The sequence below is a fragment of the Homo sapiens genome, chromosome 14 (assembly GCF_000001405.40).
Source record: "Homo sapiens chromosome 14, GRCh38.p14 Primary Assembly".
Classification (NCBI taxonomy): Eukaryota; Metazoa; Chordata; class Mammalia; order Primates; family Hominidae; genus Homo; species Homo sapiens.
The window spans coordinates 88034234-88052351 of NC_000014.9; the positions used below are offsets into that span (position 1 = coordinate 88034234).

Sequence of the window (18118 nt, forward strand, 5' to 3'; positions counted from 1 at the left end):
CATGAGCTTCTCGTTTTCTTGTGCCAAGTCTTTCATTGCAGTTAAGAAACATCCCACTCAAAATTTTGTGTAATTATCATTGCCCTCATAACATTCAATTACAACATATCCCAGTGCCACATCTTCTGCCTGCACCTCACTCCCAGTTACTCTCGGGTCAAGGGCAAAAAATTACATGGAGGTATGGGGTAGGAATGCAGGAAAGGAAAATGGCCATATGCAAATTGAAAACTTAGGCCTTCTGAATAAATTGGCCTAGAGATGTATTTTGTTTGGCAGGCTCAACTTCCAGAAAAACTTCTGAACTTAAATATCTTTAGGCAGAGCATGCGTTTTTCCTATTTGCCACAGTTCCTACCAATCACGACGATGTTACTCCACATATTCTCCTTCCCTGCCTGACTTCTGAGGGCATTTGGGCTTAGCATCTCTGGGTGTCAGGATCACATCTGGTAAGAAAGCATAGTGGATTTAGCTAGCTGCAAATTTTCAAGAGGAGTTACTCTCAGCAGCCTCCAGATAGGAATGCCCCATGCCTCCTGAAAACAAGTGAGCAAAGGCCCAGATTCCCTGAGCTCCTTTGAGATTTCCAGCACAGGTGAGCAGGGAAGCAACAGGGTTAGTTGATTCCCAGAACCCTGGGCACATGTTAGAAACCGCAGCAATCTCTTTTTAAGAAAATGCTTAACATTTTCAGGGGATGAGAAGGCACTGAAGTATCTTTATGCAGATGAGGTTTCATCTTGGTTCTGATTAAACAAAACGATGTTGTACCTTGTTCTCTTCCCTACCATTTTTTAGTGGCCTTCAATTTAGTCATCATTTTCCCCCATTCTCAAGTGAGATAAGAGTTAGAGTTGTTATATATCCCCGAAGCAGAGCTTGAGGTTGATTGTCTGTGCATACTGATAATATGGTAATGCCATTCTGTTAAGTGAATGATCTAGATTTGTAAGAGATGTTGAATTTCTTAAATTCACTCTGAGATAGACAATAGATACCATAGACATTTTATTAGAAAATTTATATCATAGACATATTTGAGGCTTACTCTGTGCCAGGCATTGTATTGGGCTCTGTTGATGCAAAGAGAGTTAAGATATGGGTTGCCGCTCTCGGGGAGTTCAGAATCTAGTAGGAAAACACATGATATATGTGAAGTCTAAGCAGAGTATTATGGAGACACCAAGGAGGGAGAGAAGGCTTCACTGAGGAAGTGACATTTGTCCTGAATCTTGAAGGATAACTTGCTCCTGAGGCAAAAGTGGGAAGATAGGATGGCAGTTCAGAACAGTGAGTTAGGGACAAGATGTGGGACTGCTTGCCCCTGTCTTACTGAGCTGCCTTTACCCCATCACTCCTGTTCAGCACCTCACTTTGGTACTACTGCAGCTACCTTCATGAACAATCTCTGATAGACTCTGCCTCCCCACACCTCTGAGATGAGCAAATTGTACCAACTGCATACAAGTAGCAAGCCAGTCACTAGTGCCCTCGACTGGGCACATGGAAGCTGGCTGAAAATCCATCCCCAACTGTAAATTTTAAGTGTAACATTATACCAAGGACATGTATCAGTAAAGTGCCTAGACATTCCTTATTTTCCCATTTTCACAAGCTTGGAGATCAATGGGCAGGAGCAGGAATAAATTACTATGTTATCACACTTTTCTGAGCATCTGGAAGAAAAGCTGTATCTGAAGAGCTGTGGGTGAACAGAATAGCTGAGTGGGTACTTGGGTGATCAGGTGTATTATCAGTGGAATAGTTATTTCATCTTTATGATGATTTGATAGTGAATGGCATTTTCTACTTCCAATGACTCCATGTTCTCAATCAGTTATATTGTACTCTGATATGCACACAATGGGATTGCCTTGGTGCTTAAAAAGTAGATGCATGGACTCCACCGTTTAAATCAGAATCTCGGAAATTGGGGCCCAGATATCTGTATTTTGAAGGCTGCTCAAAAGGTTGTCGTGTGCAACCAGGGTTGCTTACCACACTTCTAGACCAACAGAGAGATTAAAGATAGGGGAGCTTACACTCAAGGAGCAAGGACCCTTATTGGCATCTTCCCACTTTATATAGATACAGCTTCCATAACAACGACATGGAAAAATGTAATCAGAATTCTTCTTGGAGCAGCATTCCACTAGTTTGACAGAAATACAAAAATACTTTGATAAGCTGCTGGGGGTAAGGGGTGAGTCCTCTCAGGGGCATGCTTAGGAAACAAAGTAGTTCCCAAAATCTATGCATATGACAGAGAAGAATTAGATGGCCTTTGAGAGACCCAGAAGAAAATGCAAAAAGGAATAGGGAAAAAAAGGGCAAAGCAACCTGCTGTGAGCCTCCTAATCTTCCATGGCCTGAATTCCCAGCGCTTGAGGTAAGGATTTCAGTGCTGAGGGTGAATGGGCAATGTGAAGCAGGAGCCAGAGGATCAAGATTGTCTCTGCAGAGGTCTGGGTCTCAACCATGGTGATGGCTAATATGCATTGAGAGTTCTTTAGACATTCAGGAGTAGGGGGAAAGTGGAAAGATACTGTCACATTGTGACAAAAGAGAATTTGGTGATGTCGGTGGTCACCTTGGTGACAGGCTCACAGCTAGAACTGCATTTATGAGGTTCTACAGAGAGTCATTGTGACCAAAAGTCCCCCTCCAGGGTGTTAAACTCCTGGAGGATACTCATAAGCCAGGACTTCCCAAGAGTGTCCCATGGAACCTGAGTTCTAAGGACGGTACATGAAAAAAATCAACATGGGTTCCATGATCAAAGAAGTTTGGGAAATGGGCTAAATGAAAGGACTTCCAAGGCCTTTTATCTGCTAATGAGAAAGGTGATGTTTCTAGAGGCAAGAGACAGACTGCAGCTCTCTCTGCATGCTCTCATGAAATATCTCAAAGAAACAGAATTCCTTAAGGGTCCCTTTGGGAAACACTACTGCCGGTCTATGTGTGAATGACTGGAGCCACATAGAATGTTTTGCAAGAAATAACCAGGACACACAAATGTATAAGAATACATACCGATGCATTTTAAATTTGCCCACTTTTTCGATCAAAAACAAACAAGCGTAAGTTGTTTTCCCTTTCCATGTCCATTTCTAGAACAAGCCCTGTGAAAAACAAGCTGCTGTCCCTGCTAGAGGCATCCTGCAATCCATGGATGTTTATCACCAAGCCATTGTTAACATGAGGTAATGGCTATGCAGAATTTGTTTCACTCACCCCTTGGAACTCAGATTCCCTGTGGAGAGTTGGAGTAATATATATGAGGACAATAGGGAGCCTGAAAGTTAAGAATTCATCCTGTTGTATTTCTCCAATGGCACATTCACGATGTGGCTCCATGGTTTAATGCAGACTGAAAAGCAGTTGGCATTTCACAGCAGGAGGTTAGACATGGAGTGTGCTACTGGGTCAGGGTAGCTTGACTGGATATAAGTGTGTGTGATGGATGCTGTAATGAGGTGGGAGGCAGGTGACCTGAATTTTAGTCCCAAAGATACCACACTAAACTCTTGCTATGTGACCTTAGCCAAATTCTTAGTTTTCTTATCTGTAAAATGAGGTTTAGATGGTCCTGAAACCACCCACTCATGCTCCTCCTCCTCCTCATCTTTCCTGGCTGACTGGGATGATGACCATGAGGCAATGTTGGCAGCCAGGAGTAGAAAATGGCAGACTCACTAGAACATCTGAATCCCTGAAAAACAGTATCGCTGTTGCTGCTGATTAAACCTCCCCCTTGAGAAAGGAAAACATTTTTTGTAAGCTACTGGATGTTTTGGGTCCCTGTGTTTGCCATCTTCCTTATTTCATATGAGAACTAGTACCGAAAAGTAAGCACTATAACAAACATCTAAAATGGAAGGTATTAGCTTAGCATTCAGACTGAAGGCAGGAATAAAATGGTTATGAGTGGCTAGAAAGTGAAAGCCTCATGTTATCCATGGATAACTTTAAAAATTATCATCTGTGATTATTTGGAAGGTAGACCAAGAACGTATTGAGTCTGTGGCTTTAGGGAAAGCAGGTGAAAAGAGTAGGAATATTAGTGTATGTCAACTGCTATTTGTTGTTTTTAATCAAGTGCTACAAGAAACAGATAAACTCAAGCAAGAATTGGTTAGTTTGCCAGCCAAAGTGGAACTGGAAAAAAAAATACAAAGCTTCTTGGGGCTGAAAAAACTCTTGGGTTCTATACCTCAAATACGAAAAGATAAGATTTGCAGATCAAAAAAAAAGAGAGAGAGAGAGAGAGAGAGAGATCCAGCCAAGTGGCAAAGATAATATCAATAAAGTTGCTTTGCCACCCAGGCTATTTTAGACTTCAATGTGGATTCCATGATGGCGGAATAGATGGTATGCTCCAGGAAGACAAACCTTAGATCAGGTCTAGAAAAGAATTTGGGGGTTATTTACGAGCACATGAAACTGACTGGAAACAAATAGGTCAGATACCTATCGAGTTTTTGAGAAAACCGTAATGCCCAGGAAACCACAAGCTTGAATCTGTAAAATTACCCTCATGTAACAGCAGAAAGTGGGCTCTGGGAGATGTGCAACTCCTAGTAACATACTCCTCAATATTCACCGTATAAGGGTCCATGGAGGCTAACGGACAAAAATATTCTCCAGGAGGTCAGAGCCAAGAGACAGAGGAAAATGAGGAAGAAAGTTCCTTGCAGAGGACAGACCCAGGGTCTATCAAAACATTTTCTTCTAGGGTTTGGGGATCTTTGCAATACCTACCCTACAGGATTCCATTATTGCTCTGGACCAGGGAATTCTTTAGGCATTTTTAGTGTGGTTAGCCAGTCCACTTTTGTGTATTGAATAGGCAGATGGAGCAAAGATAACTGGTCTTTTAGTTCAAAGGATGCTGAACTTCAAGGAACTGTATCTGGACTTTCAGAAGAGGCCAGAGCATCATTTGGAGATCCTCGACTTTGATATCAACAAGTAGACAATTCAATAAGTGGACAAAATTTTGGGTTTTCTCCCCAGAGTAATATGCACGTATGTTTTATGTAAAGGATGATAGCAGCAAAAGGGGCTAACTGTGATAGAGGTTGCTAGCTACCTACTAAAAATCCATTCTCCCCTTCTTACTGGCACAGAGCTAAACTGCATTACTCAGCCTCCCTCGCAGTGAAGTGGCCAAGTTTTCTTCAGTGAAACATGATTGCAGTGACACATGTCACCTCTACGTTTGGCCCATACAAACCTCACACTTATCCCAATATGTTCTTTCTTTCTACTGGTTGATTGGTGTGGCAAAGCTTTGTATAACTTCTAGATGCCACATATTGAGGATGGCAGAGCTATCCCCAAATGGCTCTATAGGGACCACTAAGTGACTGTGGAGGAGAGCTGACATCAATCCAAATCCTATTATAAAAACTTTTTGTTTTTAAGCCACTGGAATTTGGGTTTTATTTCAACTGCAGTTCAGAATACTCTAACACATCACTGTAAAAGTAACAATGTCTATTTATGCAGAATATGCCAACTTTTCCAAGGAAGTCCACAGTTGATCTATTGAATCTAAGAGCTTTACACTGTCTAATCTGATCATCACTCTTGGTCAGATTAGATTACATGGTCCCTTCTTATGACTATTTTAAATAAATACACTCAATCTCTTCTCTCCCATCCTCTCTTCTCCTATCTTTATCTCTCTTCCCCGACTCCCCTGTTGCACTCTCCTGGCAAAACCCCAGCTCTGGTTTCATCCAACTCTACCTATGCCCACACTCACAAGTTTCCTGTGGCTAGTTTCACTTTAAACTCATGACTGCTGATGCAAAATAAATCCATAGTGCTGCCCAATAATCTCACTACATTTCCATAATTCATTCATTCATTCATTTAATCTCATGCACAGCTATTTCATACTTTCTCTTCTCTCCACAACTGTCCAGTTCCTCCTCACTCCTCTTCTTTCTCAGCTGATGAGCTAGAATTCTACTTAAATAAGAAAAAAGAAGCAATCAGGGAGAAATTTCCGTTGGTTCCCAACACTTCCTCCACTGCCTACCTGCATCTGTTCCTATGTAATTTGCCATCCCTCCTGGGTGAATTGTCTGTGCTCCTTTCTAAAGCCAAAACCTCCATATGTGCACTGGGCACATTTCCTCTTATCTACTTAAGAATCCTACTCCAACAATTCTCTCCTCTCCTGCATCATCAAAATTTCCCTCTATGCTGGATCTTTCCTTAACTCACAGAACATCTTAATATATATCCCATCTTTCAAAACAACAACAAAAAACCCCCCAAAAATTGACTTTGCATTATCTTGCAACTACCGTCCTATTTTGTTGCTAGCTTTTATACATATATTCCTGAAAATAACTGCCTATATTCACTGTCTTCCTTTCTCTAATTTCTTTCTCTTTTGAGCCTACTCCAGGCAGGTTTTCATACTCACCATTTCACTGTGTTCCACCTATGACCCCAGCTACCGGGAAGGCTGAGGCAGAAGGATCGCCTAAGCCCAAGAGGTCAAAGCTTCAATGAGCTGTGTTCGTGCCACTGCACTCCAGCCTGGGCAACAGAGCGAGATTCTGTCTCAAAAAAAAATTTTTTTAAACCAACTTACATCAAGATCACCAGTGATCCTCATCTTACCAAATCCGGTGGCCAATTACTAATCTTCAGTTTAGTCATCCTGTCAGTAGTATTTGATACAGTGTATCCTTCACTTCTTGAAATACTTTTTTCTCCATGGACTATTCTTTCTTGGTTCTTTGCTTTCCTTACTGGTCTCTCCTCCTCATCTCCCCAACCCTTAAATGTTGGAGTGCCCCAAGCTCAGTTCCTTATGTTGATTCTTTCCCATCTGCACTCATTCTCCAGAAGATTTTGTCAAATTTTATAGGTTTTCATACCAAATCTATGCAGATGGATCCCAAATTTCTAGCTCTAAGCCAGACGTCTCAGTTGAACTCTGGGCTTGCATATCCAACTGCCTTCTTGACATCTCTACTTGGGTGTCTCATTAGTATCTTGAAATTAACATTCTTCAAAATCAAACTCCTGATTATCTTTACCCTCAAGGTTGCTCCATAAAAGTAGCTCCATTTCTCATTTATTTAAGCCCGAACCTTCATGATCTCTAGCTGTACTCTTTTCCTTACATCCTACAGCCAGTGCATCATCATATCCTGTTGCCTCCACCTCAAACCATATCCAGAATCTGACCATTTCTCATGACCCCCTTACCATCACCTCCCACCTAGATTACTGCAATAGTAGCCTGTGGACAAAACTACTTGTTCCCTCCCTATATCCTGTGCAAATACAATTTTCATCTGGGTACTTGGTCTTCCAGAATGTAGATTATATTTCCTAACATTTCCTGTAGCTTAGTGTGACCAAGAGGATGTAATCTGAAATATCTATAGAGCCTTTAAGAGATAGCTCCAAGGTATCCTTTCTTCCTTTTTTTAAATCTGTTCTTCCATCCTGTTTTTCAGTACAGAGATGACCACTTAGACCACAGGGATACATCCTTATGTTTATTCTTTTCCACTGTACTCATGGCAGTGAGTTGGAAGGTCTTGGGGTCCCTGAGGACTTGGTGAAACAGATCTGTCATCTACTTTTGGATTTTGATGTCTGAATCTATAAATAAGAGAGAAACTAACTTCTACCTAAAGCCACTGTCATTTGGGTTTTCCTCTCACCACTGAACTTCATCCAAATCAATACGCTTTCTAACTGGTTCTCTTCCTGCTACTTTATAAATGATTCTCCCCACAGCATTAGCAAGAGTAGACCCTTTAAGACTCAGACTGGCTCATGCTACTCTTGTCCTCAAAGCCCTCTGGTAGCTCCTCTTCTTTCTCCCATTCTGCTCTCACCAAAGCCATTACTGGACATCTCTGTTCTTCCATGCTGTGTTGCCTGCTCCTCCTCTCCTCTCATCCGTGTCCACTCTTCATCCCATTCCTTCCATTCCAGGGCAATAATCTATGCACTGCCTTGCAAGCACATTCCTGCTGCAGGGCTATGCAATCCTTTCTTTTTCCTGAAAGCCTCTTGGCCCTGTTATGTTATGACCCACTCACTCACTTTCCTCAAGACTGTACCCAAATATTATCTTATCAAACAGGCCTTTTCCACCCACTCAGTCTAAACTATCACCGCCACCACCAGAACATATTCTGTAAAAATCAGAAGGCTCAGCTTCTTTAGAGAAAGCAACCACTATGATAAAACTGGGCCCAAATTCTCAAAGGGCAACAATGGACTTGATCCAGGGAACACCAAGGTGGGGCTTAAGGCAGCTCTAGTTATTCTTTCCATATAATTTCCATCAGGACTCTGTCCTCATTCCTTGGTATGGAGAATGGCTGTTGTGTTATATTTTTTTAATGTAAACTTCTATGCAAAGTTAGCTTCGAACACCAGTACCCCATCCCATTCTCTCCATTCCTCTTCTGCCAACCCATTCCCATTCCTGCCCAGCTAGACGGCCATCCTTCTAAATGAAAAGCATAAAGTTGCTATTGGCTAGAAATTGGATGGCACAGGTACTTGAGAGTTTACAGTACCCCAAACTCCCTGTTTCCATGTACCTCTCTGCTTCACTAATTCATCTTTGTCTGGTTTCTAAAGGCATATGATTAGCAGATAACACATTAGGATATTTCAGTCCTCCCAGGTTCATAGGAGAAAAATCAGAAGATTAAAAGGCACTTCGAGACCCCAAGGAATGACTCATCAATATGGAATTCTAGATATCAAGAGACAATCATTCCACATAGTAACTTTCTTTTTTTATTATTATTATTATACTTTAAGTTTTAGGGTACATGTGCACAACATGCAGGTTTGTTACATATGTCTACATGTGCCATGTTGGTGTGCTGCACCCATTAACTCATCATTTACATTAGGTATATCTCCTAATGCTGTCCCTCCCTCCTCCCCCCACCCCACAACAGGTCCCGGTGTGTGATGTTCCCCTTCCTGTGTCCAAGTGTTCTCATTGTTCAATTCCCACCTATGAGTTAGAACATGCAGTGTTTGGTTTTTTGACCTTGCGATAGTTTGCTGAGAATGATGGTTTCCAGCTTCATCCATGTCCCTACAAAGGACATGAACTCATGATTTTTTACGGCTGCATAGTATTCCATGGTGTATATGTGCCACATTTTCTTAATCCAGTCTATCATTGTTAGACATTTGGGTTGGTTCCAAGTCTTTGCTATTGTGAATAGTGCTGCAATAAACATACGTGTGCATGTGTTTTTATAGCAGCATGATTTATAATCCTTTGGGTATATATCAAGTAATGGGATGGCTGGGTCAAATGGTATTTCTAGTTCTAGATCCCTTAGGAATCGCCACACTGATTTTCTATACTTTCTACTCTTAAGACTGAACTCCTTCTACCAGATTATTTTACAAAGCCAAATGGCTCACTCCTGGAGAGTTGTTTGATTTGGTTCAGAATCCAAGTCTGTTTTCTTTTGAAATGTCAATACAGGCCAACCAGGTTTTGAACACGTGCAAAGATTATTGAAAACAGATTAATTTTTCCTAAGAAAGGATCTAGCCTTGTACGAAGGAACTACTATTTTAAATGACTAAAAGAAGAATTGCATTGTTTAGCTTGCAAATACTATATTTAAAAGTTACTAAAGATATAAATTCGAATCATTGCCAGGTCAAGTGAAGTTCAAATCTGCAAAGTGAATAGCTTCTAAGAGGTTTATACAGAGCTTGGTAGTTCCCTGTTACATATTTATGTTGCATTTTTATTAAAGAAAAGTGTTGGTAAAATTAGCATGCTTCCATGTTAATTTTATCATGTCTTTATAAATTCTCTCAAAACCAGATGCTTGGAAATGGTAATAAAAACTACTTTGAATGGAGTTTATGGACTTTTCTTTTTAGCAGTTTGTCCAGGATTAAGCAATTTTTGTGAAATAATCTCAATAATTAATTCTTTCAGCAAAATCATGCAACAAATATTTGCACAGTGACTAAATGCTAGTCACTGTTCTGTGCTCCCTGTTCACAGGGGTAAACAAAGGGCAAAGTCTGTGCTCTTTTGGAGATATGGTCTGATTGAGGGGAGAGGTGATTAACAATTGTGTAATATGTATGGACTATGAGGAAAAGTGTTAGCAAAGCAAACAGGGATGGAGTTTTATTCACATTTGCATCACCAGCATCTGGGGCTTGGAAAGGGTCTTAAGGGATGAATGGATTAATGACTCAATATAAACTGTACCTGCAGAATCTCTGATCAGACAGAACATTTGCTCCAAAGCCATTGAATGGGCTGGGATGGAGCATGCATGGTTTTAGCTTCATCTCCCACAACTGTGGCTTTGTTCTGTGTTGGTGGCAGGTGGTTTCCAAAAGGAAAAGCTTTGGGAGATAGAAGTCCTCGTTTTGACCTCTGCCCTCCTTGTACACCAGGAGCCAGAAAAACTTCATCTCTTTTACAAGAAACATTGAGATTCCTGTAAAATTAAGAAATCACACAATTTGATGGTCTACATTATCTAAAGCAAATGAGACTTCTATTTGGAACAAAGACTACCTTGTTGGGAAATGAGTCTGCAAGTTAAAGTGTTTTCTGGTAAGTTTCTTTGGTCCTTAGCTTCCTTAAAGGGGAAGTAATCATTGCCCATGGGCCCCTTTTAATTTCCCCAAGTTAGTTTATCTATTGAGTCATTTATGATAGTTTCGAATTGCCTCATAGAACAAAGTCAGCACTTCTTGTTTACGCATACTGTGCCACACTGGCAGAGTTATCTGGGTCTTCTCTCTCTCAACATTTCCAGAAAGATGGTATCTGTATCATCTAGACTGTGTTTGCCCTGAGGAGAAACTAAGACAGACATGCCCAAAGGCTGAACTCAATATCTTTGTAGAAATTATTAAAAGCAATATCACCTTTAGCCTTGTCAAGAACCTCTAACAAGACCTTTTCAGACCAAAGTGCCCTCAATATCAGAGCATGTAGTCACCCACCCCAGGTTGACCCCGGAAGTATGAGAGAGCTAAGGTGGGAGCCAGAGGCTGAGAGAAGAAAGGGGGTGACCTAGTTCATGCCAAATGAATCTCACAAGCAAGACTAGATTGTAAAATCAGCAAAGTCGCTCACAGCTGCATTATGTCCTCCCTGAGCTCTGGGCACTTTTGCCTTTGTGACCTCCTTCCTCCAACAATTAACATTAAAAATTGTATTTTATTATAAAGACAAACATAATCATGACTGAATTTATTATTACAGATATGTTATGATTAGAGTAATTTTTATTCTAACTTTAAAAGAAATGAAAATTAAACATTTTTGTGGACCCCAGGCACTGTACCTTCTGTGGCTTATGGAAAAGTGTGCCTTAAAGTTGGTGCCTTAGCATCTTTGCCTCCTCTTATTTTTCCTGTGTGTGTCAACTGTCACTTTGCCCTTCTTTGGGACACCACTTTTTACAAACGAATGTCTCAGGTATCTAATACATTTGTGTTTCCACTGCCTCTCCTGCCCGCTGACCTGACTGAAATATTTTGGCCAGCAACAGAGTTAGGAGGGGTGTGATTCCCAATGCACTTCCCATTTCTACTTCCTCATTGCCCACTTGGCGCTAGCTTTTGCTGCCACTTCTCCACTGAAACTGCCCCTGTAAGGTCATCAGAGTCCACTAGATTGCCAAACTCATGGATGATGGGCAATCTCTAACTTTAGACCTTCCTGTTGCATTTGACACTATTCTTCATTTAACTACTTTTTGCTGAGTACCCACAATGCTTCAGCCTGTGTGCCAATTTGGGAGGCATAATTATCAAGTAATCAGACAAGATTCTGGCCCTCATAAGGCTTTTTGGCTAGTAGGAGATACAGATAAATAAACAGCAAGTACAATACATTTGGGGATACTATAGAATCACCTAATTGGAACTTGAGAAATCAAGAAATGCCTCCTGGAGATTACACTTAACCTAAGACCTGAAATATGAATAGAAGCTAGCCTGGTAAGGGGAGGAAGAGTGTCCTAGGTGGAAAAAGCAACATACACAGAGCCCTAGTGATAAAAGGAATAGCTGCACACTCTGGTAATAGAAAGTAATTCCACATGGCTAAGGCCTAGATATATATGCATGAGAGGGGAGTTTGTGCTGGGTAGTGTCATGAGCATATTGACACTATATGAAGATGGCTCTAGTGTCAGTGTAGAGAATGAATTGGGTTGGAGGTGACACTGGGGTCAGTGAGAGCCACCAGAGAGCTGCCGAAGGGATGTGGTGGCTGGAATGTGGACAGGACATGGTAGGGTTCTGAACCAGGGAAGCAGCAGAGGAGAAGGAGAGAAGTGAACAGATTGAAAAGATCTGTCTTAGTAATAAATTGGATTTGGGGGTGCAGGGGAAATAGGAATCAAGGACAGCATCTGTATCTGGGCTGTTAGTGGCAAAAAAAAAAAAAAAAAGAATCCCTTTGCTGATTAGTCAGAAAGGAGTTTGAGGATATTAAGAGGCAACTCAATCTTTGGGAAGGGCAGAAAAAAACAACACCCAGTTAGGAAAGCTCACATCCAGGACCACCGTAGCCAAGAGCAATCCGGCTGAACACCACGCCACTGAGCAGAATTATTCTTCTTGTTCTTTGGCTCCCATAATACTAGGAACTGGACACCAAGAGCTTTCCCGCAGCTATCCCAGAAGAGCCTAATTCCTCCACATTTGCCATTGTCACAAGAGGCTACTTCCCCTCACCCAACAGCAGGTCCTGTTGCTCACTTCTGCCTCCTATATTTGTGCAGGTGGAAGTGCTTGACCAAACCTGGGTCCCATGTTGAACCAAGTGGTAAAGAAGCTTGGAAAACATGGTTCCTAGCTTTCCAGGGAGGCAACTACAGAGGAGTTGAGATGGATGCTGAATTCTTTATTGTATCAGCCATGATTGGTGGCTCTAGGGCCAGGCACATATTTTCTGGGGTTCTTCCCTGAGTCACTTCAATCATATACCATCTGGGCCATCTAAACTTGAAGCTCCCTCTGCTTCTGGCCCTATGTTAATTTTTGAATTGTCACCAAGTAGTGTTTTTGAACAGAAGTTCAACATATTCAGACTCACTGAGTAATCCATGTTCACAAGGCTCTCAACCTCACCAGCATATGAAACTTCCACAGTTAACCTGCCCTGCATACTTTTCTATTTATTATTAAAAGTTGCACACATGCACAAAGCAGAGAGAATGGTGTGATGAGCCCCTGTGCACAGCAACCAGCTTTGACAATGATTTGCATTTTGCCATGCTTGGTGTCCAGCATTCTTTCTTCTGCCTAGATCCAGACTCCTTCCATGCTGGGCTTTGTTCAATCCCAGTTCTCTGTTCTGTCAACTTCATCCTCCAACTCAGAAATCCTCTCAAGCTGATGATACCACGTGTACACAAAGTCCTCCTACCCCAGCTTTTTCCCAAGCAGCTGAAATACATTCTACTTTGACTGTGGCTCCCATCCTACCAAACTCATCTTTCTCATTTATTAAGTAAAGTGGTATTGTTGGACCAGATGATCCTTTTCCACAACAAAATTCTAGGATGGAGTGTGAATTTTCACTTTTTGGCTTTAGACTCAATAACAATCTTGAATGATTTTAATTGGATTCTTGAGAGCCAGGACTCATTCTTTTACAATTAATACTCCTCCCCATCCCCGTCTTCTGGGAGCCTCTACCAACCGCATCAAGCAGCTTCCCCCAGCTTGGCCAGGCACCCTCTGTCCACCTCTTCCACAATATTTAGTACTCTCATTTGCATTCATATTTGTTTCCCAACAAAGGCACCTGTGCAATTGTTTCCTACTACCCTGCGTGCTGCTTAAGTCTGATGAAGACATTCTTCTTTGGAGTCTGACATTAGGTAATAAGGACACATAAGGTGATTTGAGTCCCTAACTGGACTCAAAAATGAGATGGCTTTTGTTTGGGAAATGCTTTCACTTCACACCAACCAACCTACTTACAACAAATGATATATAGCAGTAAGCACGTGAGCCAGAATCCACTAATCCTATCATACACCACACCACTTAGAGCAATGGGACAGCTCTTTAAATGTACAGCTGAAGCACTGGATTGGAGATAATACCCTGCCAAGTGGGTGCCATCCTCCAAGATGTGGTATTCTCCCTAAATCAGTGACCATTAAATGGCACCATGTCCTCAGTAGCTAGAACACACAGGTTTGCATACCAACAAAGAGAAGCAGGAATGCCCTTGCCTTACCATAACATCTGGGGAAATTTGTGCTCTTGGCCTTGGTTGCCCAGGGCAGTACTTAGTCATTATCTTATTCCTTCTTGGCTTCCTCCCTCCTCTGTGTCACTTCCTAGTACCTCGCTGTACTCTCCTGACATTCCCTCCAAAATAAGCTACTTGCACCTGAATGTATGTCTCAGAATGTGTTTTGGGGAGATCCATGCTGAGGTGTGGGGTTAATGCTAATATTCATCTCACAGATTTGTTAGGAGGAACAAATGGAGAATGTACCAAGCACCACGTCTGGCTTTGAGTAAGTGCTTGGTAAATGACAGTTATCATTGTTGGTGACATCATTATCATTATCCTCTCGCAAAGAGAGCTGAGGCTGGGCTTATTCAAAGTTCTAAGAGAGGCAACATTAACACACCGGCTTACTCTTTCCACATCTTCCCTCCAATAAGTAAATTATTGATTATATTAGTAGCTGTCTTTTGTCTACTCTGCTAGGTACTGGGCTAATTGCTTTGTATGAATTATTGCAGTACAATGTTGTCTCAATGGCCTTACCAGATTACAATAATCAGGAGTATAATTGTAATCCTCATAATAATAGACAACATGTGTTGAGATTTTTCTATAAACTGGAAGAATCTTCTGAGTGTTTCACGTGTGTGTAGTACTGTAGTATCTCTCTATTTTACATGTGTAGGAATAGGCTCAGAGAGGAGAAATGGTTTGCCCTTGGCCACACAACCTGGACAAGGAGGAATCTGGATCGGAACCCAGACCTAACTGATTCCAGAGAGCTTGCTCTTTTTAGAAGACCACAGTCTTATAATCACTTCTTGTATTTCTCTAGATGTGACTGTATATTTGTGTGATTTAAACTTTTCAGGGTAATGAAACATTGTCCTTCACAGGAGCTAAAAAGAAAACTACAACTCAACATAGACAAGCAAAGTTCACAGGAAATCTGACCCTGTGACAATAATTTTAAGGAACAAGAAGGCATGAGTCACAATCCAAAATAGCAAGAATAAAGCATAGGATTCTGCTTATGCCAAAATATTCCTCTGTGATTTAAACAGAGGCAGGGACTTTGTTTCAACCATAGTGGATATGGGAGGGAGAACGTCTACTGTAAGTTGGGATGTCTACAGAAGAAATGGATATCCAAGACACAAATAACTATTTTTAAACAAGTACATAAAAGACAGGGATGTGTCTATTAAATAAATTCTTATCATTTTCTACCCTTAGAAAAGTTTTACTTAATCAATAATTTATGCTAATGTGGAATTATTCTTAGAAAATTAAAATTCAACCTTATGAAATAATCCACTGAAATCTTCCAAGTTAAGATTACACGTAATACAAAAACATTCTTACTAACTACAATTACAGAAGGAAAATGGAGTCATTTTACCAGCTCTTCGAGCTATAAAAAGTACATTTGATAGATTCTCCCTGCCCTGTATTATTTTCAATCATCACAATGGCTACTATTTTTCAGAGGCTTGTCATTTGCTGAGAACTGAGTTAAGACCTTTACATTATTTCATTTAATTCCTATAATAACCCTAAGAGGAATATACTATCATTATTTTCATTTTACACAAAAGGGAACTACGGATTAGAGAGGTTAAAATCTTGCACAACATCACTCAACTAGTATGTGGAGGAATCAAGACTCAAAATATGATTAACCAATGTTATTGACTGAAAGGATTATTCCCTCATTGTTCTTTCTACGTAGACCCAAACATCTAAGTTCCACAATGGCTGGAATCAGGGTAGACAAAAGTACAATGACAAAAGACACTGTATTACTGAGTTCTGAAAATAAAGATTCAAGGCCCTTCTAAAAGTGACATCTTAATAAACTGCTCCAAGAATTGGCTTTTCTTGGGGACATGCAAAGAGCTCACTTTTTGGCACTGTGATTTACAGATAAGTAGCCTCATTGTCAGGCTGTGGCAGCCATCACAATGAGTCAAAAACACAGGCTCAAAAATGTATACTTCTCCAAAAACAGAGTCAGAATTCACACTCACGGTAAAAAATTATAAACATCCTGCACCACCCAGTGACCCTGAGCCAACTTGGTGATCAAAGGTGATTCTGAATTTAGTAGGAACCAAGAAGTAAACTCTATTAAATACTATAATTTCCTTAGTCCATCTGTTACATGCAAATACTAATAGTTTCCAGGTTGATTGTTGAAAACCAAAATGAAAATTTGAAGAAGTAGAGGCAAGGGACATATAATGAATGTGTCTTCATCATAAAGATCTTCAATTCAGCCTGATCTATGACAATGATCATAGATCATTATATTGAGATATAATTCACATACCATAAATTCACCCATTTAAAGAGTACAATTCAATGGTTGTTAGCATATTCTCAGAGCTGCACATCCATTACCACAATCAATTGTTGAAATTTTCACCACTCCAAAAAGAAACCCCATACCCTTTAGCAGTCACCTCCCATTCTCCACATGCCTTCAGCCCTAGGCAAGCCCTAGGCAGTCTGCATTCCATCTATATAGATTTGCCTATTCTGGATATTTTATATAAATGGAATCATATATGTAGTATTTTGTGGCAGGCTTCTTTTACTTAGCACAGTGTTTTCAAAGTTCACCTATGTGTTGCAGCAGGTATCACTATTTCATTTATTTTTATAGCTGAATAACATTCTATTGTATGGATATGCCAGATTTTGTTTGTCCACTCATAGGTGATGAACATTTCAGTTGTTTCCACCTTTTGGCTATTAGGAATAATGCTGTAATAAACTTTTTGTGTACAAGGTTTTGTGTAATATGTGTTTTCAATTCTCATCAGTATATACCTAGGAGCGGAATTACTGGGTCATAAGGTAATTCTATCTTTACCTGTTTGAGGAGCCACCAAATTGTTTCACATTTCTGCCAGCAACATATTAAGGGTTCTTATTTTCACATCCTCATCAACATTTGTTATTATCTATCTTTTTAAATTTTATTTTTTATTCAATAGTTTTTTAAGGAGCAGGTGGTGCCTGATTACATAAATACGTTCTTTAGCAGTGATTTCTGAGATTTTGGTGCACCCATCACTCAAGCAGTGTACACTGTACCCAAAGTGTAGTCTTTTGTCCCTCATAGTTTAGCTCCCACTTATGAGTGAGAACATACAATGTTTGGTTTTCCATTCCTGAGTTACTTCACCTAAAATAATAGTCTGCAATTCCATCCAGGTTGCTGCAAATGCCATTATTTAATTGCTTTTTATGGCTGAGAAGTATTCCATGGTATGTGTGTATATATACACACACATACATATATATATGTGTGTGTGTATATATATCACATTTTCTGTATCTGCTCATTGATTGATGGACATTTGGGCTGGTTTCATATTTTTGCAATTGCCAATTCTGTTGCTAGAAACATGCGTGAAACATGCATGTGTGAGTATCTTTTTCATATAATGACTTCTTTTCCTCTGGGTAGATACCTAGTAGTGGAATTGCTGGATCAAATGGTAGATCTACTTTTAGATCTTTAAGGAATCTCCACACTGTTTTCCATAGTGGTTGTGTCAGTTTACATTCCCACCAACAGTGTAGAAGTGTTCCCTTTTTACCATATTCACGCCACCATCTATTATTTTTTAATTTTTTGATTATGGCCATTCTTTCAGGGGTAAGGTGGTATCACATTGTGAGTTTAATTTGCATTTCCCTGATAATTAGTGATGTTGAGCATTTTTCCATATGCTTGTTGCCCATTTATATATCTTATTTTGAGAACTGTCTATTCATGTCCTTAGCCCACTTTTTGATGGGATTGTTTGTTTTTTTCTTGCTGATTTGTTTGAATTC

General features: G+C 40.4%; 1 long non-coding RNA gene across 1 annotated transcript in view, besides 1 other annotated feature; it reads left to right on the forward strand.

The window, feature by feature from the left end:
* Window positions 1–18118, forward strand: part of HISLA (HIF1A stabilizing long noncoding RNA) — a 62797-nt gene that overhangs the window by 9684 nt on the left and 34995 nt on the right. The window lies entirely within an intron of this gene.
* Window positions 3035–3536: an enhancer, noted in NCBI's record as "NANOG hESC enhancer chr14:88503612-88504113 (GRCh37/hg19 assembly coordinates)". NCBI's record gives its function as "activates a minimal SCP1, AML or CMV promoter by ChIP-STARR-seq in naive H9 embryonic stem cells {active_cell/tissue: H9 hESC(naive)}" and the evidence as "EXISTENCE:reporter gene assay evidence [ECO:0000049][PMID:30033119]".